This window comes from Homo sapiens, chromosome 5 (assembly GCF_000001405.40).
Source record: "Homo sapiens chromosome 5, GRCh38.p14 Primary Assembly".
Taxonomy (NCBI): Eukaryota; Metazoa; Chordata; class Mammalia; order Primates; family Hominidae; genus Homo; species Homo sapiens.
In genome coordinates this window covers 181,180,245-181,205,881 of record NC_000005.10, presented here as the reverse complement: position 1 = coordinate 181,205,881, position 25,637 = coordinate 181,180,245, and the positions used below count along the sequence as shown (strand labels likewise).

Genomic DNA, 25,637 nt, shown 5'->3' with positions numbered 1-25,637 from the left:
GTGAGCGAGGAGAGAGGGTGTGGAAGCGGATAACACAGGCAGCTCTGCTGCGGGGCTGTGGAGACAGCTGGGGGACAAGAGAGCGCTGAGGTTTGTGTGTGTGTGTGTGTGTGTGTGTGTGTGTGCGGTGGGGGGGGAATAATACTGAATACAATGGGAAATTATAAATGTGTTATCTGTTCAAATACTAAGTAAAGAGTAAAGAAGCCGGAGGACAGTCGCAGAAAAGGTAATGGAATGGATACAAGGCCACGCTTGCGCGTGAGGGGACAGGACCAGGTTCCAGTCTCTAAATTTAACTCAGCACAGGGCCGGGGCGAACCTGCGCTGGCGGAACCTGACACCGTGGCCCGAGCGCCAGGCCCTTGCCCCGGCGATGCTGGGTCGGCCTCGGTCGGAAACCGGGAGTGGCGCTGGCAGCATTTGTGCGCCCACCTGTCGCGGCCCGTTTCCCGCGGCTGACTGGGTCAGGCTGGGGCGGCCTGGAGAGTCTGAGGGACGGGGGCGAGGGGGAGAGGCCGCTGGCCAGGGCGGGGGCTGGTGGAGCGCAGATCCGGGGCGCAGGGCGCTGTCCCGCACTTGAATGGCCCGTAGTCAACGTGCGCCTCCCCTCCCGGCTCCCAGCCGGGCGCGCCCCGGGCTCGAGTCTCTGCCTGCCCAGTGGCAGCCCCGCCCTTCCTCTCCCAGTGGGCCCTCGGCGCCCAGCTCCGCGTCCTGTGAGGTCCAGTGGCCGCCCAGGCGCGACCAGATCTGGGTGCGCGGAGAGCGCGCATGGCGGCTGTGGGACCGCGGACCGGCCCCGGAACCGGCGCCGAGGCTCTAGCGCTGGCGGCAGAGCTGCAGGGCGAGGCGACGTGCTCCATCTGCCTAGAGCTCTTTCGTGAGCCGGTGTCCGTCGAGTGCGGCCACAGCTTCTGCCGCGCCTGCATAGGGCGCTGCTGGGAGCGCCCGGGCGCGGGGTCTGTTGGGGCCGCCACCCGCGCGCCCCCCTTCCCACTGCCCTGTCCGCAGTGCCGCGAGCCCGCGCGCCCCAGTCAGCTGCGGCCCAACCGGCAGCTGGCGGCAGTGGCCACGCTCCTGCGGCGCTTCAGCCTGCCCGCGGCTGCCCCGGGAGAGCACGGGTCTCAGGCGGCCGCGGCCCGGGCAGCGGCTGCCCGCTGCGGGCAGCATGGCGAACCCTTCAAGCTCTACTGCCAGGACGACGGACGCGCCATCTGCGTGGTGTGCGACCGCGCCCGCGAGCACCGCGAGCACGCCGTGCTGCCGCTGGACGAGGCGGTGCAGGAGGCCAAGGTGAGCGCAGCCCCCACCCACCCCGTGGGTCCCCGGGACCCCCTGACTTGGTCCCGCGCTCCCGCGCACGGGGTGCAGAGAACAGCCTGTCGATCAGGAGGCCCGGGTGAGCCCCTCCCTTCTTTCTCCATTCCAGGAAGCCCAGCGCTGGTTCCCGGGCTGAGCGCGGTTCTCTGTCACCCCCAACATCACCAATACCCCCACCCCACCCCCACTGCGTTTCCCTCTGGGCCAGATACTGGGCCGCCTGCGCGACGTCCCCCACGGACTTGGCGATGTTCTTCCTGTCTGTTCGGAGCCTCTAGCCTGGTCTGCGTCTCCGCAGCTCTCTGCCCGCGGGAAGTCTCCGGCACAGCCACGCAGCCGCTGCCCCCACTCTTATCTCTTTCCCCGAAGCGGGCTCTGCTCAAAGTCCCCACCTCGTGGAACTGAGTGAGAGGACCTCGCCAAGATGTCCAGGGAGGGGGCTCCCGGGTTAAGCCGCGCACCTAGAGCCGTCTGACTGTGCCAACGCTGTCGATTCTGGGGGCCCTTTCTTTGCTATTTTCTCGCTGAGCCTCAGCGAGGGTGTGTGCAGGGGTGAGGGCGGGGCGGGGAGGCTCGGGCGGCAGTCCCCAGTCTCTCCTTGCTGGCCCATCCTGCTCCAACTCTCCCAGCCACGGGGCTTCCTGGTGGGGGGGCGGAGAGTAGAGGAGACGACTAGGGGTAGGGCTGCCGGAGCTTGTGTTTCAGTCTGGCTGGTCCAGCAGATGCTTTTGGGGAAGCAAGATCCCGAGACCTTCAGAGTCACCTCGCAGTGTAACCTGTAGCCTGTAGAGATGACTTCTACCCGGCCTCCCCCTCAGTGAGCAGGGCCTTCCCTTTCTCCTGGCTGGCTCCAGGAAGGCAGAGGTGGGGGTTTCCAGAAGCCCCTCACCCCCACCTTACATTGTTTCCCTTCATCTACAGGAGCTCTTGGAGTCCAGGCTGAGGGTCTTGAAGAAGGAACTGGAGGACTGTGAGGTGTTCCGGTCCACGGAAAAGAAGGAGAGCAAGGAGCTGCTGGTGAGCCAGGCACCCGCAGGCCCCCCGTGGGACATTACAGAGGCCTGAGAACTCAGCACCAGGGCTCGGTGTGTGTGGTGTTGGAGTGTGTGCTATGGAACCGCAGAATCGATTTCAGAAAGATAATAGAGTCCATATTATATAGGGTGTCCACATAATTGTTGTACAAACCAGAGCTTTTTAAAGTGAAAAGCAGTGCTAAAATAATTATTGCAAAACAACTGGCTTAAACTGGAGCTGTCCCAGCGAATCAGGACGCTCAGTCACTCTGATATTACGTAACATACCAGTTAGGGCCTGCGGAAGCATCTTGTAATGGAACACATTACTATTTCTGCAGAGAAACATGGATATTCAATAAGTGGGAATATTAATACAATAAAGAGCCTCATGGCATGTTTTGTCAACAAAACAGTAGTGAAAAAAATTTCATGTTCACAGTGTTTTTATTTGAAATCGAGGCTAACGGAGAAGGGGCTAGAGGGCGTCAGAGCTGCTCCCTGGCTCTGGCAGAGGGAGGAAGTTTAGGGTCTTGGGTTTACAGTAGCCCCTGCTGCACAGCCCAGGGTCTTGGGTACTGGCACCTGCCTCTACCCCAAGTTGGAATGATATTTTATCTTCCTTAGGGTAGAACAGGAAAGTGAAACGAGGGCTCATTTTGGTTAAGATAAGCAAACATGAGGCCTGGCAGGGTGGCTCACGCCTGTAATCCCAGCACTTTGGGAGGCCGAGGTGGGCGGATCACGAGGTCAGGAGATCAAGACCGTCCTGGCAAACACGGTGAAACCCCTGTCTCTACTAAAAATACAAAATAGCCGGGCGTGGTGGCGGGCGCCTGTAGTCCCAGCTACTCCGGAGGCTGAGGCAGGAGAATGGTGTGAACCCGGGAGGCAGAGCTTGCAGTGAGCCGAGATCGCGCCACTGCACTCCAGCCTGGGAGACAGAGCGAGACTCCACCTTAAAAAAAAAAAAAAAGATAAGCAAACATGAATCACCATCGGTCATTTTCTACCTTGCAAATTCAGTTCCTAGCTCAGTAAATAGGTGTTGAAAGAATAAAAGGATTGGCTGGGTGCGGTGGCTTACGCCCGTAATCCCAGCACTTTGGGAGGTCGAGGTGGGCGGATCACCTGAGGTTGGGAATTCCAGACCAGCCTGACCAACATGGAGCAACCCCATCTCTACTTAAAATACAAAATTAGCCTGCCGTGGTGGCACATGCCTGTAATCCCAGCTACTCGGGAGGCTGAGGCAGGAGAATCACTTGAACCCGGGAGGTAGAGGTTGCGGTCAGCCAAGATCATGCCACTGCACTCCAGCCTGGGCAACGAGAGTGAAACTCCATCTCAAAAAAAAAAAAAAAAAAGAATGAAAGGATCTACTAGGACCTGTCAAGGCAGGGAATTGAAGGAAGGTGAACTAGAGGACCCTCCCATCCTCAATGTCAGGAGGGGTGGAGGAGGAGCCTGGAGTTCAGACACCCTAGGGTCCTTTCCAGACCCTCAACTATATCTGTTATGCCTGCACCCAGTGTGCATCCCAGACCTTCCTACCTCATCACTCACTTTCCTCCATGAGGAAGAGCTCACCCTCTAGACCTTCATCCCTCCTCCACTGGAGAAATGACTCCCAATGCAGCTCTTCCCCCACTGGTTGACATCCAGGAACCAGAGGGCCTTCCCTGGCACCGGCGGCAGCTTCACAGTCTCTGACCGGAGTCCCCAGGCCTTGCTTAACACCTTCCACCTCTGTCCTCTCCCAACATCCATCCATCCACCCCCACATTCGTTTTTGTTGTTGTTTTGTTTTGCTTTGCTTTTAGACAGAGTCTCACTTTGTCACAAAGGCTGGAGTCGTTCAAGCGATCCCCCCACTTCAGCCTCCTGAGTAGCTGGGACTACAGGTGTGCACTACTACACCCGGCTAATTTTTAATTTATTTTTTGTAGAGCTGGGGTTGGGGGTAGTCTCCTGTGTTGCCCAGGCTGGTCTGGAACTCGTGGGCTCAAGCAACCTTCTCCCCTGACTTTGCCCCCCTCAGCCTCCCAAAGTGCTGAGATGACAGGTGTGAGCTCTACCTGTTCTTTGCAGCAATAAAATACTTCTGGATTTATGACACTTGTCTCATTTACAATACCCTGCTTAATGAAACATCAGAGGTAGAGCCCAACTATTGCTGCAACACAAAAGGGAGAAGGAATGCTCTTATTTGAAAATGCTCCTACCCCAGGGGACATCTGGCAAAGTCTGGAGATACTATATTTTTGGTTGTCAACAATGGGATAGGGATGCTATTGGCATTTCGTGGTAGAGGCCAGAGGGGCGGCTAAATGTCCTACAAGGCACAGGGCAGCCCCCTACAACCAAGAAGTATCTGGCCCAAAATGTCAACTGTGTTAAGGTTGGGAAACCCTGGCTTAGAGTATTTTGGCAAATACTGTTTCACTTGTGCTACCTCCTTGTGAGGCAACTGGCCGAGAAGCCTGGCTTAACACTTCCTGGTGATGTGTCTGTCTTTTGTCTCCTCACCTGTAAGACTTGAAGGGAAGTGCACCCTCCCCACTGGGCTGCCGTCAGGGTTGAGGGAGTTAATATCCATAAGGCGCTCCAGGCTACTGCAGCCTGCCTGGAAGCTGAAGGAAAGGTGGGGGCATTGTAGGACACCTTGAACCCAGGTCTCCCAACTTCACAGGACTCCCTTCCTCCGCCCAGGAGTTTTAAGGAAGAGGAACTTCCTGGTGGGACATATTGAGTGCCAAACGTGTGTTCACATAAAAAATCAAGAGATCAGGGCATGAGTCTGCATCTGAAAACTCGAGTAAAAAATCCGGTGTATGCTGTTAATGGAAAGAACAGAATATGACACTTGCATGCCGCATATTCTCACTTCGTTCCTTGGGGGTGTGCTGCTACCTCTGGTCACTGGCATCGGACTTTTCTTCCTTCTTTCTACTTTCCTACATCTCCCAAGTTTTGTATTTTGAGCATGTGTTAGCATTATAACTGCTAAACAGGAAAGATGGCCTTTAAAAAGAAAGTGAAGTGTAAAAGTTTGAGGGTGATGAAATAAATGTGCTTGAGGAAGAAAAAGCAATCTCAGTTTAATCCTATGGTTGCCCCAGGAGGCACTAATTTATCCCTTCTGCTTTTCAAGTGAGGAAGCTGCAGCTTGGCGTAGTTCTGGGGGGAGTATGAAGCTGCCTTGGTTTAGGTGATGGAGCACAGGTCCACAGACATGTGTGGGTGCATCTGTGGCAGGGGAGAAAAGAGCATGTGTCCAGACTACAGCTTGTTCAGAGCTGGGACACTGACAATAGAGCACGCACTGCGTGCGTAGGTGGGTGTGTCTCCGATCCTCCAGCAGTGACAGGGACGAAGCCTTGCCCTGTGGGATGACTCAGGCCACTGGCCAAATGTTATGTCTCCATGTTCAAGTCCCTCTCCAACTTCTCCTCCTGGGACAGAAACAGATGGCAGCGGAGCAGGAGAAGGTGGGGGCAGAGTTCCAGGCACTGAGGGCTTTCCTGGTGGAGCAGGAGGGTCGGCTGCTAGGCCGCCTGGAGGAACTGTCCCGGGAGGTGGCACAGAAGCAGAATGAGAACCTGGCCCAGCTCGGGGTTGAGATCACCCAGCTGTCCAAGCTCAGCAGCCAGATCCAGGAGACAGCTCAAAAGCCTGACCTTGACTTTCTCCAGGTAAGTCTGGCTCAGCCAGGGGCTCGAGTCATTTATCCTAAGGCATCAGGACCAGCAGCTAGAGAACAGTGTCAGTCCTGGGGGGTCTAGGAGAATCACATGATCTGGAGCTGAAGGGGACTGGAGAGAAGTGCCCTGATTTTCCTGGGGTTGGAGGTCTAGAGAGATGTGAAAACTTTCTTGACTATGAGCCACAATAATATATATCGTATTTCAGAATCACAAGCTTGAGACAAAAGTCTCAGAAAATAATACTCACCTTTGCTACACGTATGCACTTTGATGTTTTCTATTCTATTTCGCTAAAAAAAAAGTTATAAACAACTAGATAAACTTCACAATCCATAGATGGGTTAAGAACAGTCATTATGGGGCTGAGTGAGCAGTAGGTGCATAAGGGCTGTGACCTCCCTCAGGTGGTTTCCAGGACACACGCAGCACTGGGTCCCATGGGATAGCTCCAGTGATGATTCTGTAACTAAGAAAGCAGCAAAGATAGAAAGAAAGCACGTGAAGAGTTGTGGCAAAGGGTGAGAGGTCCACTGCGTGGGTGAGACACCCTGCAGCCAGCAGCCACTGGAAGCTGCTGCCCCTGAGGCCCACGCAGGCAGTGAGGCGTGGCACACTTGCTTATGCTTACATCTGGGAGGCACAGCAAGGGGCAAGCTTTGTTTCTCAGAGGTGAATGGAGGTTACCTGATGCTGATTTGGTTTCCTCTATCTTTCCTTCCAGGAATTCAAAAGCACGCTGAGCAGGTGAGTGACCTCACAGCTCCTGGGGCCTCTCTAAGTTGCTTCTTCCCTTTTCACTGAGCCTTGTCTTTATTCCCTGTCCCCTGACCTCTCACCTCCTGATCCCCCGACTTGCTTGCCTGGGGACCTTCCGAGACAAACGCCCACCTGCCTGGCCATGGGTTTTTCTGCATGAGGTCTGGCTCTCCCTTTTCTACCTCTTTCTGCCAAGAGGACCTCGCCATCCTAATTGTCACAGCCTGTGGGAGCAAAATGGTGCACACAGGCCCTTCTCAGAGCCCTTGTCCTGCAGGTGTAGCAATGTGCCTGGCCCCAAGCCAACCACAGTCTCTTCTGAGATGAAGAATAAAGTCTGGAATGTTTCTCTCAAGACCTTTGTCTTAAAAGGGATGCTGAAGAAGTTCAAAGGTAGGGGCCTGGGCGCCAAGCTGGGCCACATAGTGCGGTGGTGGTGGAGGGTTCCTGGTAGCTCAGGGGTCCCTGGGTGTGCTTTCCAGAAGCTGTGTGTGAAAATAGGAGCTGGCTGTGCCATGGCCAGATTGGTGTAGGGGCTGTGGTGGCAAATCTAGTCAGGCCCCCGCAGGGCATGCCGCTTCTCATGGGCACAGATGGGGTAGAGGGGTACTGCTGGGGGACTGGGGTTAGGAAGAGAGCTGTGCAGGGGAGCTCAGCTCAGAGCCACTTGGGTAGAGCTAGAATGCTTGGGTATGGGCCCCCTGCCCCCCGCTCCCCATGCTTGGCCCTGTGCCTGCACGTTCACTCTTGGCCTTAGGAGTCTCTGGGGAATGAATGAGTCAGTTGGGATATAAAGAGCTGGTGACCTTGCCATATAATCTCCCGTGTCGCTCATGCACGCCTTGCTTTGTTTCTCCTCCTCAGAGGACCTTCGGGGAGAGCTGGAGAAAGAGGAGAAAGGTAGGGATGGTGCTGTGATGGCGAGTATGGACTGTCTGCCACACAGAGATCCTACTCCCTGCTCGTGACCATCTCAGGGTTTTGCATATGGTCGGTTCCTTCAGCCCACCCACCTCAGCAACCCTGTTCCTCTGTCCCCTCCCCCACACCACCCCCTCCCCATCCTGGGAGCTCTGACACCCTCAGATGTTGGCCCAAATGCTGCAGGTTGGTTAGGAGCAGGAATGCCCTGTACCTCGAGATACTCAGACTGGGAAAGGCTTCTCGGCCACCTGGGTGAGCCTCTACCCGGTCCCCACTCCAAGATGGATGGAAACCTCTCCTGGGAATGGGGTGTATACAGGGGACCAGGAAAGCAAGGGGAAGCTAAAGACTGGAAGGAATATCGTTTTTACTCTTGCAAAGCTCTGGAATGTGTGGCATCCAACACCCAGAGGAGGGGAGGGGAGGGCACATATTCCTGATGCTGATGTCTGAGCTAAGTCAGAGTGTGTCTGGGTGCCACCTAAAACACCTGAGTGAGACCAGGCCCTCCTCTGCTCAGAGCCCTGCCACAGCCCCTCTGACTTGGTAAAGGTCAGAGTCCCCATGGAGGTCTCAAGGGCCCACGGGCTCTAGCCTCACTGCACACCCCTTCTACTCCACGCAGCTACACATCCTCCCTGCTGTTCCTTCAGTGTACCAAGCACACACCCATCCCGGGGCCTTTGCACTGCCAGGCTCCCCCACCCCAGGCCCCTACCTGGAGCATGCTTTCCCCAGCCAGTCCTGTGGCCTGCTTCTTTGCCTTCTTTATATCTGTCTGCTCGATGCCCCTTTTCAGTGAGGGTCTTCCCTGGCCACTCTGGTTGAAGTTACAGCCTGCTCTTCTGGTCCCTCTCATCTTCTGTTTATAATCTATCCTCAATCCTCTCCCTGTGGGAAGGAAGCTGCAGGCAGGCAGGACTACTCTGATACTCTGTGGTACCCCCAGGGCCTCAATCGTAGTAGTGCTCACAGTAAGTGTACATATTTTAACTTTTTTTTTTTTTTTTGGAGACAAGGTATCGCTTTGTTGCCCAGGGTGGAGTGCAGTGGAACTGCAGCCTCCACCCCGCAAGCTCAAGCGATCCTCTCTCCTGGGCGTCCTCGAGTAGCTGGGACTACAGGAGCACACTACCATGCCTGGCTAAATTTTCTATGTTTTGTGGAGACGGATGTCTCGCTATATTGCCCAGGCTGGTCTCCAACACCTGGGCTCAAGCTGTCTTCCCACCTCTGCTTCCCAAAGTGCTAGGATTACAAGCATGAGCCTCTACACCTGGCCTTAACTTTTTATTATGAAAAATTTCAAACATACTCAAAAGTAGAGAGAAGAGTGTAAAGAATGTTACATACCCATCTCTCACCGTCCGCAGTGATCAATTAGTGGCCACAGTTTTCATAGACACTGCTATCCACTTCCTGTGGGATTATTTTGTTTTCTGAGACAGGGTCTTACTCTGGAGTGAGATCATGGAGTACAGTGGCCTGATCTCTGCTCACTGCAACCTCTGCCTCCTGGGTTCAAGCGATTCTCATGCCTCAGCCTCCCAAACAGCTGGAATTACAGGCACAGGACACCATGCCGGGCTAATTTTTGTATTTTTAGTAGAGAAAATACAAAACAAGTTTTCCGCCATGTTGCCCAAGCTGGTCCCAAACTTCTGACCTCATGTGACCCATTGGCCTTGGCCTCCCAAAGTGCTGGTATCGCAGCTGTGCACCATCTCACCCGGCCTCCACTGTATTATTGTTATTATTATTTTTATTTTTGAGACAGAGTCTTGCTCTGTCGCCCAGGCTGGAGTGCAGTGGCGTGATCTCAGCTCACTGCAATCTCCACCTCCCGGGTTCATGCCATTCTCCTGCCTCAGCCTCCCGAGTAGCTGGGACTACAGGCGCCCGCCACCACGCCCGGCTAATTTATTTTATTTTTTTATTTTTAGTAGAGACGGGGTTTCACCATGTTAGCCAGGATGTTCTTGATTTCCCGACCTCGTGATCCACACACCTTGGCCTCCCAAAGTGCTGGAATTACTGGCGTGAGCCACTGCGCCTGGCCTACTGTATTATTTTAAAGCATCAGAGACAACATATCATTGCCATAAATACCTCAGTGTGTTATCTCTAAAGAAACAGACTTTGTAAAACATAACCACAAAGCAGTCCTCACACCTGGACAGATTAATGATTCTTTCCAATGTCTAGCATTCAAATATCCCCATCTGTTGAATTGGGGTTCAAACCAGGCCCACACATTGCATTTGTTTGATTTCAGTAAGTACTTGTTGAGTGGTCGGGGCGGGGGGAAGCAAAATCTCTGGGAGGCAGAGCGTGGGGGTTGGTTGGGCCTTGGCGCTGGGTGCTGGGGGGATTCTAGAGGGAAAGGCAGGCAGGTTGCAAAGCAAGGTCGGGCGCGGCCCTGCAAAGACTGTGCCAGGGGCCTGGCTGCGTGGGGACATTTCTCCCTGTCTCTGTCTGCAGTGGAGCTCACCTTGGATCCCGACACGGCCAACCCGCGCCTCATCCTCTCTCTGGATCTTAAGGGCGTGCGCCTCGGCGAGCGGGCCCAGGACCTGCCCAACCACCCCTGCCGCTTCGACACCAACACCCGCGTCCTGGCGTCCTGCGGCTTCTCCTCGGGCCGGCATCACTGGGAGGTGGAGGTGGGCTCTAAGGACGGCTGGGCCTTTGGCGTGGCCCGCGAGAGCGTGCGCCGAAAGGGCCTGACGCCCTTCACTCCCGAGGAGGGCGTCTGGGCCCTGCAGCTCAACGGCGGCCAGTACTGGGCCGTGACCAGCCCCGAGCGGTCGCCCCTCAGCTGCGGGCACCTGTCGCGCGTGCGGGTGGCCCTGGACCTGGAGGTGGGAGCCGTGTCCTTCTACGCTGTGGAGGACATGCGCCACCTCTACACCTTCCGCGTCAACTTCCAGGAGCGCGTGTTCCCGCTTTTCTCTGTTTGCTCCACGGGCACCTACTTGCGAATCTGGCCTTGAGGGGCACTGCTGGGGAGCTCCTGTCTCTGGGCTGCCGGTGGGAGGGGATGTCGCCTCCCCAGAGATGCCTGGTCCGTCTTGGGTCTGCCCTCCGTGCTCCTGACCCCTGCTGCCCAAGAGAGCCTGCTACAGACACAACCCCGAGGCAGGAGAGTGACTGTGGCCAACCGAGCAGGGGAACAGGGGCTTTGGACTCCTGAGGGTGTTCCCTTCCTGAGGTCACATGTGGATTTGGCCAGAGCCTTCAGGAGGTGGAGGCCGGTGAGGTCAGGAGCCCAGCTCTCCAGGGGGCTTCTGCCCTGACTGGGAAGGGTGCCTGGCTCCCTAAAACAATGTCAAAGCCAGTCCTGCTGTTCTCTGTTGCCAGGGGGCAGGTCTGGGCCTGGGCCAACCACGTTTGTTATCATGGCTGCTGCCTTCTGGACAGCTGCCAGCTCTGCCTTGAGAGGTTGTGGGACCTCTGGATCCAGCTGACCTGACAGGTCATCTACTCAGGGAGGAGCCCTGTGCTCCCAGCTCAGAGGACAGTCTGGGCCAGAACTGGAAGGAGACATCTGTCCCGTCTTTGAGTGACAAGCCCGGGACAACAGCCAGTGGGCATCACGGCTCTCCAGCACTCCTTAGCCGGAGGATACAGAGTGATGGGTGCATCCTGACCAATGCGACAACCAACACGTGCTCTCACAAACCCCTGACTCCCGCACTTTCCAGTGCCAAAGTACAAACGCTGCTTGGATAAGGAGAGCAAAGCTTCTGGAACTTTATTTACTCTTTCTTTTTAATTTTCTTTTAAGAGACTGGGTCTTGCTATGTTGCCCAGGCTGGTCTTGAACTCCTGGCCTCAAGTGATCCTCCAGTTTCCATCTCCCTAAGAGCTGGGATTACAGGTGTGAGCCGCTGTACCCGAACTTTTTTTGTTTTTGCTTCTGGAACTTTGAAACACAAAACACAAGTTGGCACTTACAATTTTAAAGATGCAGCCAGCTCTAAACAACACACAGAGCACAAATATGCTCCTGACGGACTCAGGAAAATGCCAACAGCAGAGCACCCTGGTGCCAAGGCCTTCTCAGCCCATGCCCTGGAGGGCATTCCCCTGGCCAGCCTCAGCCCCTTGTCTACTTGTTCTCCAGCTTCTGGGTAGCTGGGCTTCTGGAAGGGTGGCAGTGGGCTACTCCCTGCTCAGCGCTCCCCTGGGAAGGGGGTGAGGAGATGAAAATGAAACTATGAGCTGTCTTTGGAGTTGGCTTGGCCCATTTTCTACTCCCTAGATCTGAGTGCAGGAGCGTAAGTGTGATCAGGGTTTCTGCCAGAGTGAATGAGCATGCATGTTTCTGTGTGGGAGGAGTGTGTATTTGTATCTCACCTTTCTTGGGGGTGTGTGTGTGTATTTTGGAGAGGGCATTTATGAGCATGTGCATAAGGTTCAGGTGTTGCAAACAGACCCAAGTCAGTCTGGTCATACCCTATTGTTGATTTGTTGTTAAATACTGACCACCTCATATTTAGACAAGGGCCACAGGTTTCTTCTCTCACTACCTGGCTACCAGGCTAGATGAACAGAATACCAGACTCGGACCTAATTCTGTCCCACACAAGTTATTTAGACAGAGGTGCTGGCAAACAGGGGCAATGATAGCTGAATAGCCCTGTGTCATGGAGCTTCAGTGCTCTGTCTCTGAGGTGCTTCAAGCTCACCTGGCATATAGGGTTCTCGTGGGGCAGCCACAACACTATCCCAGAGGCAGGCCCAGTTGACACAGCACCAGACAATCAGAATACCGCATCCTCCAGGCTGAGGACAGGGTCATTTCAAAGTCCTGCCTACAGAAGCATTCCAGAGAGTGAATCCTATGTCCTGCTCATACATGGAGAGCAGCTCTAAAACCGGGTAGCCAATTCAGGCATTTGAATACCACTGATTTCCACAAGGAAAACCGATCTCTAACATTAATTTCCTAACTGAATCACCTATTGTTACCGTTAAGCCTTAATGTTATCTGGCTTGTATGGCTTTTTGATTAAGTATCATAATTCCCTTTGTACCATCCAACAAATGTGCTGGGCATCACAACACACATTACAGGTCCCAGAAAGTACCATGTCTGGTGAAGGTGTCACATGAGGGTCAGGTCTGGGGACTGGGAGTAGCTGTCCGCATGTTTATTTTCCGTTTTTGTGTCCATGAGTGCAATCGTGTGTCTATCAGAGTGTGTGTGTTTGCAGAGTGACTACATATATAGCTATGTATCTTAAGAAATGTAACAACAGTTACTGTAACAATTGCATAGAGAAGGGAACAGATGTTCTTTCTTGCTAACCAGGGCAGTACAGTAACTTGGATGTCAGGATGCTGGTGTCCTCGAGGGCATGTGTGTGCATTTCCCTCTCCTAGACTCTGGGCATCATAAACTCTAGGGACCTCTGGGTCTGTGAGAACAACTGGCCTAACTTGGGCCCTTCTTATTCAACCCATCAGTCCTAGCTGCTGACCCATAAGCGCAGGCCTCTGCCGCCAGACCCTCACAGGGACCCTCAGCATCCAGAATGGGGGGCACCTAGAGGCCCACCTCTGGCCTGGCCGCCCAGTGACCCAAGTCACCCGGCATTGCAGGGAGCACAGGGCAGGCTAGGCCACCAGACCAAGGTCCACCTCCTACACCCACCACTTTCTGTCCTTTGCCAGGCTGAGCCCTCATCCTTTTCCCCTCTCCTCCGGCCCGTGGGCCCTTTAAGGGCCCTGACAGAACATGTCAGGGTGTACCCTAAAAGCTGCCTTTTCCTACTTCATCCAAATGTGAGACGGGGCTGGCACCCACCCGCAACCTCGCCTGGACCCTTCCCACCCCAGCGCCTCCAAACACCTGGCCCTCCTGATTCCCCGCCTCCCCCGCCACACTCCCGCTGGGCCTCCACCTCCTGATGACCCCACTGTTCCCCCACCGCCCAGCTCGCCCCAGGTCCCGCCCTAACCTCTCGGATCTGGACTCCCTGCAGGACGGGCGCACTGACACCCTTCCCTGACCTTTCCATAGCCTTGACCTGGATCCCCGCTTCCTCACGCACAGCAAGACGCAAAACGTGCTCCCCAATCCTGCGCACGCCCTTCCCTGGCCCCCGCCCCGCCCAAGGCCCGGGGCGGTCCTCACAGCTCGGAGCTCGGCGGTGCCGCCCCGCCCCGACAGCTCCCGCCCGCGCGCGCGCCCAACGACGGCACTGTCTTCGCGGAGCCCTCTGCCGGGACTAACGGCCGTTCCGTGCCACGGACGCACGGGCAAGATGGCTGCGGCCGTGGGAGGAGCTTGGGTCCAGCAGCCACAGAACTCGGCCGAGGGTTCAGCGGACTGCGGCTGCGCGGCGCCGGCGACAGCGTCAACTGCTTTTGTGTCAAAAGGAAACCAACAGCCGGCTCCATAGCTCAGGGGTTAGAGCACTGGTCTTGTAAACCAGGGTCGCGAGTTCAAATCTCGCTGGGGCCTGCTTCCGTCTTTTCCTATTCTTTCCTTAAAGATAGAAAAGTGGAAGATAGGCAAGCCTACTTCCGCCTTCCTGGGAGGCCAGAGCCTGGCGGAGTCACTTTCTTTTTGCCTCTAAGATACCCACCGCGCAAGGCTACTTTCCTACCACTTCCTTATCTCTTGAAGAGTCAGACCCACTGCGGGCTTCCTTTTCCATCACGGGTTCCCTGGGCCCCGCGCGCCCTCTCCCCACGACCCCGCTCACTTCCTTCTGCGCGCTCCCCGGGAGCGTCTTTCCGCTTCTCTCCGGTCTTCCCACTCCAGCTAGGGACTCGCCCTCGTGTCTCCTTCCCTCTCTCCAGGGGGAGACGATGGCACTACCGCGCCCCTTCCCGCCATGCGTTTGTTTGCGGCGTTCCCCGACGCGCGCGCTGAGGCTCTGGTCTGCGGCTCTGCGCTTGGCGGCTGCGCGCCCTCGGCCTTCGGGTCCCCGCCGCCTCCGTGCTGCAAGGTCTGATTTCTTCCTGTGGAGTTAACACGGAAAAGCGCAGACGGCCACATTCATGACCCGGGAGTAACGGCTCTACCTGTCACATTCGCTTTCAGCCTAAAACAAAATTTTAGTTTATTTTAGACAAAATATATAACTAAGGTATGCTGGCCTTCTGACTGATTTATTCTTGCTGTTAACGGAAGTGTAGAAAGTGAGCCCAAGTCCTCAGTGAACAGTGGGGGCGCTGCCCAGGTGCAGGACTGGCCCCCTGGGGGTCTCGGGACGGCTCCCGCCTCCGTCTTCCCCGCACCGCGCACTTTGGAGGCCTGGGCACAGGTGGAGGCGGCGCTGGGTCCCGCCGTACACTCCCCTGTCGCAGGCGCCCTCTCTCCAGCCGGAGGGAACCTCAAAAAAGCTCTGAGCGAGTCCCCGTCCCAGGTGGGGCCGCGGCTTATACCGGGACCACTCCAGGGTAGCTCAAGGTTCGAAAACGGAATCCCTGTCCGGTGAACCAGAGAAGAGAAAATCGCTCGGGGCCACCTGGGTAGAGACCGGAGGGGTGACTGCCTTGACTGGGAGGCGTGGAGGAGCGAGCGGGGTCTGCGGCTCCGGCCGGGAGGTATGCGCTTCCCTCTCTCACCCATGCCTGCTCCGGTCCAAAGAGCCGAGACCGTGGGTCAAGACCGGGATGGATTCGCTCGGGAGAGGCCAGGAGCCTGCCAGCACGTTCGGGCACTAGCGCTCCCGGGGCTCCTCGGACTCGTGGACCCCGAAACGCCTGCCCCACAGGAAGATCACCCCACTGTAGAAGTCGGGTCACGGGGACCAGTGGCGAGCTACCTGACGGCTTAACTACAGATACCCTCCCGACGAAAGCCGTGGACTCCCAGGGTGCGTGCGTCTGCTTGTGTGTGGGGGTGTTGGCAGGCGGTCCCCATAATCATCGAAGAGACAGGTGGATGAACCTCAGGCCTCGCACTCGGGGGCTCTCAGAGTCTGGGCGTTACAGCCGCTCCCGTACACTCACGGGTCACCTGGCTGAATCAGGTGGGATCTGGGTGAGGTGCCGGGAGGTCTCCCAGGCTGGCGCTCCTGTCCAGCTGCTGGGGGAGGCGTGGGTGCGAGGCTTGGGACAAGGGAGAGCTATGCCGGGTGGGGAGGACCCTTGGGGCGGGTCCGTTCACCTGAAATGTTCACTGCTGGAAGAGCCGAAAGCCAGCCACGGCACCCAGGGGAGTCCAGCGTGGAGAGGCAGAGAGGAGGGGCGAGGACAGTGGCGGTCGCAGACGGCGGAGCAAGATCGCCGAGCGTGCGAATGGAAAAATGAGCATTGTTTCCTCGGAGTAGCTTAACCACCATCCCACGCTGTTTTACAGCAGTGTAGGAAATGTCTCTGCTGGTGACACAAAAATAAACCTGTGCATCAGCTCTGAGTAGATTATCGCGAATTTTACAGCAGGAAACCGCATCACTATTTTTACTACTAAATAAACCAGTGCAATTAAAGTGCGCAGGGCGAGAGTAGGTCTGAGGCGAGAAAAGAGGAGCGCGCCCGCCCAGCTCGAGCCTCAGGCTTGCCCTGTGCTGGAGGCGGCCCGGGGGCAATCCCGGGAGAATGCTGCGAGGGCTGTGAGCCAGGACCCCGACTCTGCACCGCGGGAGCGCGCGCGCGTGGGTCCCAGCCTCCGAGCTGTGCAACAACCCCGTGGCTAGAGTCTCCACGAGAAGACAGAGTTCCTGGTCATCGGTCGTTTCCGCCTTACACTTTCCTACATTTCCTGAAGATTTTGCAAATGGGTATGCACTGTTTATTATCTTTTCATAAAACGGTAAGAGCGGCTTCTGGGGGCTCCTCACCCAGCCGGTCCGGCGTTCCTTCCCTCTCAGCACTGCGCTCTCTCCCGAGCCCTCCGGCTCTACCAACCTCTGTGTCCTGCCCCTGGGCCTCAAGATTTGCGCCTTTCTTGGACTCGCTTGGGAAGGGGCGCCCAGGCTGCAGAACGGATGGACGCTCCTGCCTGCTACTCGAGTGGATCGAGCAGGGAGGCGCTCATTCGGATTCCAGGAGACCAGAGGACACAGGACATAGGGAGCGTTTACCCTGTGTGGAGCTACCTGCGGCTGAGAATTAGTGGCAGACGCGGAGATGGGCAGCGGGGACAAGTTGGGCTTGGGAGACTATAAGACCTTGAGAATGGGTTCAAGCTGCCAGACGGAAATCCGCCTTTTCGGTGAATCGAGCCATGAAGAACACAATCATGAAAAGATTCAGCGAGCAACTAGACAGCCGGCTCGTTGGTCTAGGGGTATGATTCTCGCTTTGGGTGCGAGAGGTCCCGGGTTCAAATCCCGGACGAGCCCACTTTTTCATTTTTTTTTTTCCATTTCAACTGAAGTTCTTCTTGTTCAAATCCTGGATGAGCCAGCTTTTTAAATTTCAACTAAATTTTGTGTTACCTTGACAGTTTTGATCCCGAAAGATGTCCAGCGGAGGCATCACCAAGATTTCCGGGAGTGCTGGGGATTGGAAAGAATCGTGGATAGGAGACTAAGCGAGCCGTCCCGGAAGCAACAGTTGCTGTGAAGACTTTGGGCACAGACCTGCACGTGAGAGTATGCTCTTGAGGGTTGTGGGGGCTCTCCTTTTACAGCTAGGGATCACTTGTCGAACGTACCCGGAGAGTAGCTGCTAGCAGACAATATTATGGCGACAGAGGTAGGTGTGGGTTTCCGTAGTGTAGTGGTCATCACGTTCGCCTAACACGCGAAAGGTCCCCGGTTCGAAACCGGGCGGAAACATGCCACAGTGTTTTTTTTTTTTTTCCCCCCCCTTTCTTTTGAGATGGGGTTTCGCTCTTGTTGCCCAGGCTGGAGTGCAATGGAGTGATCTCGGCTCACAGCAACCTCCGCCTCCCAGGTTCAAGCCATTCTCCTGCCTCAGGCTCCGGAGTAGCTGGGATTACAGGCATGCGCCACCACGCCCGGCTAATTTTGTATTTTTAGTAGAGACGGAGTTTCTCCATGTTGGTCAGGCTGGTCTCGAACTCCGGACCTCAGGTGATCCGCCCACCTCGGCCTCCCAAAGCGCTGGGATTACAGGCGTGAGCCACCGCGCGCGGCCCCGAAGCGGTTATTATCTCATTACACGCTCTTATTACACTGGAGACTAACCTAGAAGATCCCACTAGTATGTCCACCTGGTGGTCACAGCGGCACAAAGAGAAGAGGGCATCTACGCTTTTGCTTTCCATTCCCAACCACCCGCACCTGTGAACTCAATCCAGTTTTACTTGCTGTGGACAAGCTCGGCACAGAGCTCATCCACTGGACAGCGGCACGCTGCCAAATGGAACCCCGCATCTCGAGTATGTGTGGGGCCCATTACTCCTTTTGTAACCCATAGGGGACAAAAGTGACAAAACTACCACAAACTGGCAGCGGTGGGATTCGAACCCACGCCCCCGAAGAGACTGGAGCCTTAATCCAGCGCCTTAGACCGCTCGGCCACGCTACCTCTTTGCCGCTGGGTATTTACATATTTTCCTTCAGTTATGAAGCGTGCGAAGGGGCTCTGGGCCAACAGGGAGTTGGGGCGAATCCACAGGGCAGGACCATGGCAGGATCCGCTCCGCCAAAGCCACTGGCTGGGAAACGGCTCCACCAGTGCCCTGACACAGGATTCTCAATGCCCAGGCCTCAGGATCTGCTTTAGGAAGGCCAGTCATAAAGCCACCCTCTTTGGGGAATGCACTCCAGAGCAGGGGAAGACTTCGACACTCTCACTTCAAAAAATCAAAAACAAATACAATGAAAAATAAAATAAAATAAAAACCTAAAGAAAAACAAGCAAAAAACCCCAGCCTGGGCAACATGGCGAAACCCTGTCTCTACAAAAGATGTAAACATTAGCCGGGCGTGATGGTGTGTGACCATAGTCCTAGCTACTCAGGAAGCTGAGCCCAGGAGGTCGAGGCTGCAGTGAGCCGAGATCGCCCCACTGCACTCCAGCCTAGGTGACAGAGCAAGACCCTGTACCAAAACCAATCAAACAAAAACAAAACAAAACAAACAAAAAGCCCCAACAACAACAAAGCAGACAACAAACTGAGAGTATGTATTGACTTTATGAGTCATGAGCAGAAACGTTCTTAGCAACTTCATTCATAATAACTCACTTATGGAAACAGTCCAAATGCCCACCATCTTCACATTGGATAAATAAAATTGTGTACAGTCTTATTTTATTTTATTTTTTTATTATATATATAGTCTTATATGGGATTATTATAACACTGATAATGAGCTTACTGCTGCAAACAGCATGGACGGATTTCACCGTCATCAATGTTGAGCAAATGCAGCCAGACACCAACGATCTGCATTCTATTGATTCCACATATGACATTCACACACGAGCCAAACTAATCTATGGTGACAGAAGTTAAAAATCCTGTCACTTGGGAGAAGGAGGTGCAGGTACTGACTTGCAAGGGACATGAGGAATTTTTTGTAATGCTGGAAATGTTCCTTTTCGATCTGGATGATAGGTACACACGTGTATTCAATTCCATGCGCACTTAAGATCTCTGTACATATGAAATCTTTACACAGTACAGATATATCTGTATGAAAATTGTTTCTTAAAACATGACTTTCTTAGTTGGAAAGGCTATTGTTTTAGATTTTACTGGTGTGTAACAAATTACCACACACTTAGTGTCTTAAGACAGCACAGATTTATTATCTCGCTTTTTGTGGAGTACAAGTTAGCAAGATCTTCTACTGATACCGCAGCAGGTGACATCACAATGTTGGCCATTGCTGCAGCCTCATCTGAGGCAGGGGGGTTCTCTTCCAGCCTCCCTGGTTGTTGACAAAATGCATTTCTTTGTGGCTGTGGGACTGAAATCTCCTGTTTGCTTGTTGGCTGTCAGCTGAGGGCCACTCTTGGCAACCAGAGGCCCCTTTCCTTGAGGCCAGCGGTGCACGGTGTTTCTGGAACTCCACCTTCTTTTAAAGGGCTCACCTGATTAAGTCAGGCCCACCCAGGATAATCTCCCTTTTGATTTATCAAAATCAACTGACCAGGAACCTCAATCACAGCTGCGCAATCCTTTGTTCCGTAAAATGTGGCATGGTTGTGGGAGTGACATGCCATCACGTTCACTCATAGGCAGGTGGTCTACAGGGCGTGTGCGCCGGGTGGGAATCTTAGGGGCCACCTTCGAGTTCTCTCTATGACAGTTTCAGGCCAGAGAACCAAATACGGTAGAGCCTCCCAGCAGAAACGCCTTTCCAAGTTCCTTACCTGTCTTTGTATTTGTAACTTGTTGAAAGAAGCCCCTGGGAGGGGATGAGGGGTCCTGTGCTTCCTCATTGCTGTGTGGCCACGCTGGCTTCCTGTGTCCACTTGGCATCCTCAGGCTAGGTGGGCATCCCGTTGTGTTGCAGAGTGATCGGGAGACAGAGGCCGCCTCTACCAGCGCTCAGCCCCCGAGGCGCTCCTGGAGCACGTGCCAGGCTCTGTTCGGTCCCCTCCAGCCTGTTCTTTCAGTTCCGGAGGATTTCCTATTTCTACGTTTAGACACTAAACCTTTTTCATTAACATGTGCTCACTGTGGAATAATTAGACACACCTAAGAAGAAAAAGTAGAGTAAATGAGCTTAAAGAACATAAAAAGCGTCCTCAACCATGCCACACATATTGCTATTATTTTGTTTTAGAGCTTTTAAGACTATTTTCATGGATACTTTAACTTATTTGTCTTATATTTATATATATATATTTTTGAGGCAGGGGTTGGGGGTGGTTTACGCAGTTTAGCCCAACCTGGGCTCAACCTCCTGTGCTCGATCCATCCTCCCGCCTCAGCCTCCTGAGTAGCTGGGATTACAGGCGTGTGCCACCCTACTCAGCTCGACAAGCTATGTTATTTACTTATTTACATTTACATATTTATTTATTTTTCAAACGGGGTCTTGCTCTGTCACCCAGGTTGGACTGTAGTGGCACAAACACAGCTCACTGCAGTCTCGACCTCCTGGGCTCCAGCGATTCTCCCACCTCAGGCTCCGGAGCAGCTAGAACCACGGGTGCGTACCACCACGCCTGGCTAATTTTGGTATTTTTTGTAGAGACGAGTTTCGCCATATTGCCCAGGTTGATCTCGAGCTCCTCTTGCCTAGGCCTCACAAACTGCTGGGATTGCAGGAGTGAGCCACCGCGCCTGGCCGAGCTCTTTTTTTGTTGTTTTTTGGTTTTTTTGTTTTGTTTTGTTTTGTTTTTGTTTTTGTTTTTGAGACGGAGTCTCGCTCTGTTGATCAGGCTGGAGTGCAGTGGTGCGATCTCAGCTCACTGCAAGCTCCGCCTCCCGGGTTCACGCCATTCTCCTGCCTCAGCCTCCCGAGTAGCTGGGACTAGAGGCGCCCGCCACCACGCCCGGCTCATTTTTTTGTGTTTTTAGTAGAGACGGGGTTTCACCGTGTTAGCCAGGATCGTCTCGATCTTCTGGCGTCATGATCCACCCGCCTCAGCCTCCCAAAGTGCTGGGATTACAGGCGTGAGCCACCGCGCCCGGCCCCGAGCTATGTTTTAATAAGAATACTTTGCATTGTGTTTTGTAACTTGCCTTTTAAAAAGTACTTAACTTCGCTGGAAAGATTCCATAGTAAAAAGAAAAAGAAAAAAATACTCAACAAAGGTACTGTGATGCCACTCATTCCTACATTTTATTTTTCGCCTTTATGAAATTGTAAACAAAGAGCCACAGGCCGCGCTGGGGTAGGGGAGGGGTCGCCCTTCAAAACGCCACCAGGGGACCCCATGGCCGTGTTTTTTGTTAACCGTTCACAGCTCCCTCTAGGAACCTTCAGATGCTCTATGATGAGTGCAGTTTTCCGCGACTCTTTCAAATTCTTGGGTCGCCGCCGCACACGTGACCGCTCGGGGGCGCTCAGGACTCCACCGCGGCGCGGCTCTGGTCCTGGCGGGGGCGCGATGCAGGCTCGGCGCTGTGCAGATCGCGCCGCCCAGGGTCCCTCGCCCCGGGATCTCGGCGCGCAGGTCTTGCAGCGCCAGACGCAGCGGAGCCCGGGCCCAGGGCTGCAGGAGGAGAGGGGACCTGGGCCCGCCGGAACTCCCTGTATACCACAACCAGACCGCAGCAGGATTGGTATCAGCGGGAAGAAGAAAACAGCCCACAACACCATTTTCATTGTTCCAGTGTTTGGAAGAACTCTAGATATCTAAGCAGCCACTGTTGTTGAACATTTAGACTCAGATTTTTTTTTTCCCCCCATTGCAAGATTATCCTTGTGGCTCAATCTCTGTATAACATCATAATGATTATATAGAGAAATAAATATCTAGTGTAGTTAATGGGCCAAAATTCTATATATTTTTTTCTTTTTTTGAGATGGAGTCTCGCTCTGTCGCCAGGCTGGAGTGCAATGGCGTGATCTCCGCTCACTGCAAGCTCCGCCTCCCAGGTTCAAGCGATTCTCCTGCCTCAGCCTCCCGAGGAGCTGGGACTACAGGCGCCCGCCACCGCGCCTGTGGTGTGTTTTTACGCCTGGTGTTTTTCACGCCTGGCTAATTTTTGTATTTTTAGTAGAGACGGGGTTTCACCGTGTTGGTCAGGCTGGTCTCGATCTCCTGACCTCGTGATCCGCCCGCCTCGGCCTCCCAAAGTGCTGGGATTACAGGCGTGAGCCCCCGCGCCCGGCCGGGATTATCGTGTTCTTGCGGCTGAGTGGTGCTCTGCTGCGCATCCACCTCGGTGCCTCCGCCCACTCCTGCACCGACGGCCGCTGCCTTTGCTCGCAGATCTGGGCTATTGTGAACAGCGCTGCGGTAAACGTGGCGGCACAGACATCTCTCGGGCAAACCGAGGATGCGATACGGATACTTCCTCCGTCATTTCCACTCCCCTTTCTCCAGGCCCTGAAGCTCCGTCTCCACGCCCGAACTCGTGGCCTCCCATTCCCCAGGCAGCTTCTCCCGAATGTCCCCTCTCAGAAACCGGTGCCAGCGCGTCCCCGCTGTGCCACCCCCAAGCCCACTGCCAACCCCGCACAGTTCCGCGTCCGCCGTCTCCTCTCCCTGCGGTCGCTGCCACACCCTCTCGTCCGGTCTCCCATGCCCCCTTATGCTACCGCGTCGGGCATGAAAACTTCCTTTTCTTTCTTTTCTTCTTTTTGTTCAAGACGTTTCCCTCTGTCACCTAGGCCGGAGCGCAGTGCTGCGATCACGGCTCACTGCAGCCTCCACCTCCTAGGCTCAAATGAGTCTCTTACCTCAGCCTCCCAAGTAGCTGGGACTACAGGCATATGCCACCACACCTGGCTGATTTTTATTCTTCTATGTTTCAGTAGAAATGGGGTCTCCGTACGTTGTACAGGCTGGTCTGCAACTGCTGGGTTCCGGCGATCCTCCTGCCTCAGCGTTCCAAGTCTGGTAGTTCCTTTTCTTATGTGCTCAGCCCCATTAGCCAAGCTTAAAGGGACACATGGACAAAGCTCAGGATTATAATCAGAAATAGAACAGGGCTGGGTGCGTCGGCTCACACCTGAAGTCCCAGAACTTTTGGGAGGGAGAGGTGGGTGGATTGATTGAGTCCAGGTGTTTGAGACCAGCCTGGGCAACATAATGAGACCTTGTTTCTATTTATAAAAACGACAACAACAGGAGAGACACTTGCCACGGGTGACAGGAGACCAGGAGAAAACCAGAAGGAGAATGTGGAGTCCCAGCATCCGCTGTCCTGAGAGCCTGAGGGCCTCCTCCAGGAACTGCACCTTCGCAGGGACCCGGCACTTCGCACTCTCTCCCCGGACACCGCGGGCGGATGTGTGCACAGACTTAAGGCCCCCAAACCCTCTTTTAGTGGATGCTGTGGATGATTTCTCATCTTAGTGCACACTCTCATAAAACACCCGCTCACTAAGATGAAGACGTTCTTAGTTATGCTCGTAGCACAGTCATGCCCACCTCATGCAAGTCACATCTGCAGACTTAGTCCCTGATTGCACGTCTACCTATGCTGCCACTTGACCTAATTATAGGCCACAGTCAGAAGGAACCTCTTGCTGTTGGCGCCATCTCCTGCCTGTAGGCGGAGGTGAAGGCCTGGCCCCGAGAAGGCCGAAAGATTCCCTTTCCTAGGAGGCGGGGATAACAGGGGATCTGTGAATCTGGGTGGGAACAATAGCAGAACTCATGTTTTTCCTAATCACGAACTGAAAGAGGGTTTTCCATTCAGAAAGGAGGCTGCAATCCACAGTAGAATTAACACGACCTTTATTGCTAATGGAAATCACAGATGCGGCTGAGGCGGGAGGATCGCAGGAGCCCCAGAGGTGGAGGCTGCAGCGAGCCAAGGTTGTGCCACTGCACTCCAGCCTGGGCAGCAGAGGCAGACTCTGTCTCATACACCAGCAAAACACAAAGAAATCACAGGTCCTTTCATATCACATGTCAAATCATAGTTCTTGTAGGCACTTTGAAATATCACTTATGCTCATTAGTACTTAAAAATTATGGTAATTGTCCTGGCAGTGTGACTCACAGCTGTAATTCCAGCTATTTGGGAGGCCAAGGTATTTGAATCGCTTGAGGCCAGGAGTTTGAGACCAGCAAGGGCAACATAGGGAGACCCCATCTCTACAAAAAATGCAAAATATTAGCCAGAAATGGTGGCATGCACCTGTAGCCCCAAGTACTTGAGAGGCTGAGGTGGGAGGATCCCTTCAGCCCAGGAGGTCATGGCTGCAGTGAGCTAGGTTCTTCCCACTGCTCTCCAGCCTTAGCAACAGAGCAAGACCCTGTCTCAAAAAACCAAAACCAAAAACAAACAGAAAGAAAGCATTATTCTGAGAAGGAGTCCATAACTTTCACCAGACTGGTAGTCCATGGCCACCCATCTTTAAAAGGGCTCAGACTCGGCTGGGCGTGGTGGCTCACACCTGTAATCTCAGCACTTTGGGAGGCTGAGGCAGGTGGATCACTGGAGGTTAGGAGTTCAAGACCAGCCTGACCAACATGGTGAAACCCCGTCTCTACTAAAAATACAAAAAATTAGCCAGGCATGGTGATGGGTGCCTGTAATCCCAGCTACTCAGGAGGCTGAGGCAGGAGAATCACTTGAACCTGGGAGACAGAGGTTGCAGTGAGCTGAGATGATGCCACTGCACTCCAGCCTGGGCAAAAAGAGTGAAACCCTGTCTCAAAAAAAAAAAAAAAAAAGCCTCAGAGTCTTGCAAATAGTACAAAAGAGTTGTGGGTCAAAGGTGGAACATGAAGTCCCCCTTTGATAAATGAGTGAGTGACTTTCGGAGAACCAAAAGCCCCACAGATCCAAGAGTAGTCAAGTAGGGCTGCTAGAAGAGCCCCATGCTTGTGAGTCAGGAGGGAGGTGCTGGTGGCCTCATCCAGGGCACTGTCAGGGGACAGGTTGGTGACAGCTGAGGTGCCACCTGGGACTGGCCAGGGCCAGAGGTGATTGAACTTTTGCAACGGATGTCCCCAGCTGAGAGTGAGGACTGTGCAGGGTTGGCTTGTTGAATCAATGAAGGATTATTACCAATCATATATTTTCTTTCCATTCATTCATTCATTTATTTATGTGCCTAACTCCTGTCCCACATCCTGTCTAGGTGCTAAGGGGACAAAGGTTCCTGGCCTCAGCACACTCTCAGATTCACAGGGAGACAGAACTGAGACTGAGAGCTGGTTCCTCTCCCTCTCTCGTGGGGATACAGTGAGAAGGCAGCTGGGCAGAAATCAGGAAGAGGATCCTTACCAAGAACTGCAGTGTGCTGCACCCTGATCTAGACTTCCAGCCTGCGAAACTGTGAGAAATCAATGTCATTGTTTGAGCAGCCTGGCATATGGTATTGTGTTACAGCAACCCGAACCAAGACAAAGGTTCTCAGCTGGGGAGACAGAAACTCATCTGGAGCCTGCACTCCCC

The 25,637-nt window shown here is 54.2% G+C and overlaps 1 protein-coding gene, 3 long non-coding RNA genes and 4 other non-coding genes across 19 annotated transcripts, besides 15 other annotated features; 5 read left to right on the top strand and 3 right to left on the bottom strand.

Annotated features, from left to right (window-relative positions):
- Positions 408 to 727: a silencer, noted in NCBI's record as "silent region_16789". NCBI's record gives its function as "represses an Ori minimal core promoter by ATAC-STARR-seq in GM12878 lymphoblastoid cells {active_cell/tissue: GM12878}" and the evidence as "EXISTENCE:reporter gene assay evidence [ECO:0000049][PMID:35858748]".
- On the top strand, positions 686 to 11,958 carry TRIM7 (tripartite motif containing 7). 7 transcript variants are annotated; one of them, NM_203293.3, is made up of 7 exons: positions 686 to 1,293; positions 2,242 to 2,337; positions 5,801 to 6,031; positions 6,765 to 6,787; positions 7,077 to 7,192; positions 7,664 to 7,699; positions 10,205 to 11,958. In NM_203293.3, the coding sequence occupies exons 1-7, from the start codon at positions 772 to 774 to the stop codon at positions 10,714 to 10,716; spliced, it is 1,536 nt and encodes a 511-aa protein (NP_976038.1). In that variant the 5' UTR covers positions 686 to 771; the 3' UTR covers positions 10,717 to 11,958. The 7 variants fall into 7 exon arrangements, with proteins under 7 accessions (NP_976038.1, XP_016865393.1, NP_203128.1 ...); NM_203294.2 differs by lacking the exon at positions 686 to 1,293 and adding an exon at positions 1,542 to 1,860; NM_203295.2 differs by lacking the exon at positions 686 to 1,293 and adding an exon at positions 1,542 to 1,860 and having other exon boundaries at positions 2,242 to 2,405.
- Positions 988 to 1,317: a silencer, noted in NCBI's record as "silent region_16788". NCBI's record gives its function as "represses an Ori minimal core promoter by ATAC-STARR-seq in GM12878 lymphoblastoid cells {active_cell/tissue: GM12878}" and the evidence as "EXISTENCE:reporter gene assay evidence [ECO:0000049][PMID:35858748]".
- Positions 1,358 to 1,427: a silencer, noted in NCBI's record as "silent region_16787". NCBI's record gives its function as "represses an Ori minimal core promoter by ATAC-STARR-seq in GM12878 lymphoblastoid cells {active_cell/tissue: GM12878}" and the evidence as "EXISTENCE:reporter gene assay evidence [ECO:0000049][PMID:35858748]".
- On the bottom strand, positions 2,765 to 5,807 carry TRIM7-AS1 (TRIM7 antisense RNA 1). The gene is made up of 2 exons (XR_001743050.3): positions 4,866 to 5,807; positions 2,765 to 3,294 (listed from the first exon to the last, which is right to left on the bottom strand). It is a non-coding gene; the product is annotated as a TRIM7 antisense RNA 1 (long non-coding RNA).
- Positions 3,239 to 3,533: a silencer, noted in NCBI's record as "tiled region #12726; HepG2 Repressive non-DNase unmatched - State 3:PromF". NCBI's record gives its function as "represses a minimal TATA promoter and a strong SV40 promoter by Sharpr-MPRA in HepG2 cells {active_cell/tissue: HepG2}" and the evidence as "EXISTENCE:reporter gene assay evidence [ECO:0000049][PMID:27701403]".
- Positions 9,001 to 13,992, bottom strand: TRIM7-AS2 (TRIM7 antisense RNA 2). Of its 6 annotated transcripts, none has more exons than NR_183283.1 (3): positions 13,690 to 13,992; positions 12,415 to 12,540; positions 9,001 to 11,648 (listed from the first exon to the last, which is right to left on the bottom strand). It is a non-coding gene; the product is annotated as a TRIM7 antisense RNA 2 (long non-coding RNA). The 6 variants fall into 6 exon arrangements; NR_183284.1 differs by having other exon boundaries at positions 13,742 to 13,992; NR_183281.1 differs by having other exon boundaries at positions 13,866 to 13,992.
- Positions 13,646 to 13,985: a silencer, noted in NCBI's record as "silent region_16786". NCBI's record gives its function as "represses an Ori minimal core promoter by ATAC-STARR-seq in GM12878 lymphoblastoid cells {active_cell/tissue: GM12878}" and the evidence as "EXISTENCE:reporter gene assay evidence [ECO:0000049][PMID:35858748]".
- Positions 13,974 to 14,836, top strand: LINC01962 (long intergenic non-protein coding RNA 1962). Its single transcript, NR_108031.1, has 2 exons — positions 13,974 to 14,140; positions 14,537 to 14,836. It is a non-coding gene; the product is annotated as a long intergenic non-protein coding RNA 1962 (long non-coding RNA).
- Positions 14,006 to 14,185: an enhancer, noted in NCBI's record as "active region_23782". NCBI's record gives its function as "activates an Ori minimal core promoter by ATAC-STARR-seq in GM12878 lymphoblastoid cells {active_cell/tissue: GM12878}" and the evidence as "EXISTENCE:reporter gene assay evidence [ECO:0000049][PMID:35858748]".
- TRT-TGT6-1 (tRNA-Thr (anticodon TGT) 6-1) lies at positions 14,124 to 14,195 on the top strand. The gene has a single exon. It is a non-coding gene; the product is annotated as a tRNA-Thr (tRNA).
- Positions 14,166 to 14,245: a silencer, noted in NCBI's record as "silent region_16785". NCBI's record gives its function as "represses an Ori minimal core promoter by ATAC-STARR-seq in GM12878 lymphoblastoid cells {active_cell/tissue: GM12878}" and the evidence as "EXISTENCE:reporter gene assay evidence [ECO:0000049][PMID:35858748]".
- Positions 14,866 to 14,995: a silencer, noted in NCBI's record as "silent region_16784". NCBI's record gives its function as "represses an Ori minimal core promoter by ATAC-STARR-seq in GM12878 lymphoblastoid cells {active_cell/tissue: GM12878}" and the evidence as "EXISTENCE:reporter gene assay evidence [ECO:0000049][PMID:35858748]".
- Positions 16,957 to 17,028, top strand: TRP-TGG3-1 (tRNA-Pro (anticodon TGG) 3-1). Its single transcript has one exon. It is a non-coding gene; the product is annotated as a tRNA-Pro (tRNA).
- Positions 17,016 to 17,225: an enhancer, noted in NCBI's record as "active region_23781". NCBI's record gives its function as "activates an Ori minimal core promoter by ATAC-STARR-seq in GM12878 lymphoblastoid cells {active_cell/tissue: GM12878}" and the evidence as "EXISTENCE:reporter gene assay evidence [ECO:0000049][PMID:35858748]".
- Positions 17,276 to 17,475: a silencer, noted in NCBI's record as "silent region_16783". NCBI's record gives its function as "represses an Ori minimal core promoter by ATAC-STARR-seq in GM12878 lymphoblastoid cells {active_cell/tissue: GM12878}" and the evidence as "EXISTENCE:reporter gene assay evidence [ECO:0000049][PMID:35858748]".
- TRV-AAC2-1 (tRNA-Val (anticodon AAC) 2-1) lies at positions 17,394 to 17,466 on the top strand. Its single transcript has one exon. It is a non-coding gene; the product is annotated as a tRNA-Val (tRNA).
- Positions 18,066 to 18,195: a silencer, noted in NCBI's record as "silent region_16782". NCBI's record gives its function as "represses an Ori minimal core promoter by ATAC-STARR-seq in GM12878 lymphoblastoid cells {active_cell/tissue: GM12878}" and the evidence as "EXISTENCE:reporter gene assay evidence [ECO:0000049][PMID:35858748]".
- Positions 18,100 to 18,181, bottom strand: TRL-AAG2-1 (tRNA-Leu (anticodon AAG) 2-1). Its single transcript has one exon. It is a non-coding gene; the product is annotated as a tRNA-Leu (tRNA).
- Positions 20,970 to 21,470: an enhancer, noted in NCBI's record as "H3K4me1 hESC enhancer chr5:180611412-180611912 (GRCh37/hg19 assembly coordinates)". NCBI's record gives its function as "activates a minimal SCP1, AML or CMV promoter by ChIP-STARR-seq in naive H9 embryonic stem cells {active_cell/tissue: H9 hESC(naive)}" and the evidence as "EXISTENCE:reporter gene assay evidence [ECO:0000049][PMID:30033119]".
- Positions 20,970 to 21,704: a biological region, named in NCBI's record as "H3K4me1 hESC enhancer GRCh37_chr5:180611412-180611912".
- Positions 21,037 to 21,704: a silencer, noted in NCBI's record as "fragment chr5:180611178-180611845 (GRCh37/hg19 assembly coordinates)". NCBI's record gives its function as "represses an EF-1alpha promoter that drives an FKBP-Casp9 reporter gene in an ReSE screen in HepG2 liver carcinoma cells {active_cell/tissue: HepG2}" and the evidence as "EXISTENCE:reporter gene assay evidence [ECO:0000049][PMID:32094911]".
- Positions 21,658 to 21,867: a silencer, noted in NCBI's record as "silent region_16781". NCBI's record gives its function as "represses an Ori minimal core promoter by ATAC-STARR-seq in GM12878 lymphoblastoid cells {active_cell/tissue: GM12878}" and the evidence as "EXISTENCE:reporter gene assay evidence [ECO:0000049][PMID:35858748]".

Coding starts and splice junctions, on each gene's coding strand:
- TRIM7 (NM_203293.3), top strand. CDS start 772: ATGGCGGCTGTGGGACCGCGGACCGGCCCCGGAACCGGCGCCGAGGCT. Junction 6,788..7,076: donor TTCAAAAGCACGCTGAGCAG/GTGAGTGACCTC, acceptor CTTGTCCTGCAG/GTGTAGCAATGTGCCTGGCC. Junction 7,193..7,663: donor GATGCTGAAGAAGTTCAAAG/GTAGGGGCCTGG, acceptor TCTCCTCCTCAG/AGGACCTTCGGGGAGAGCTG.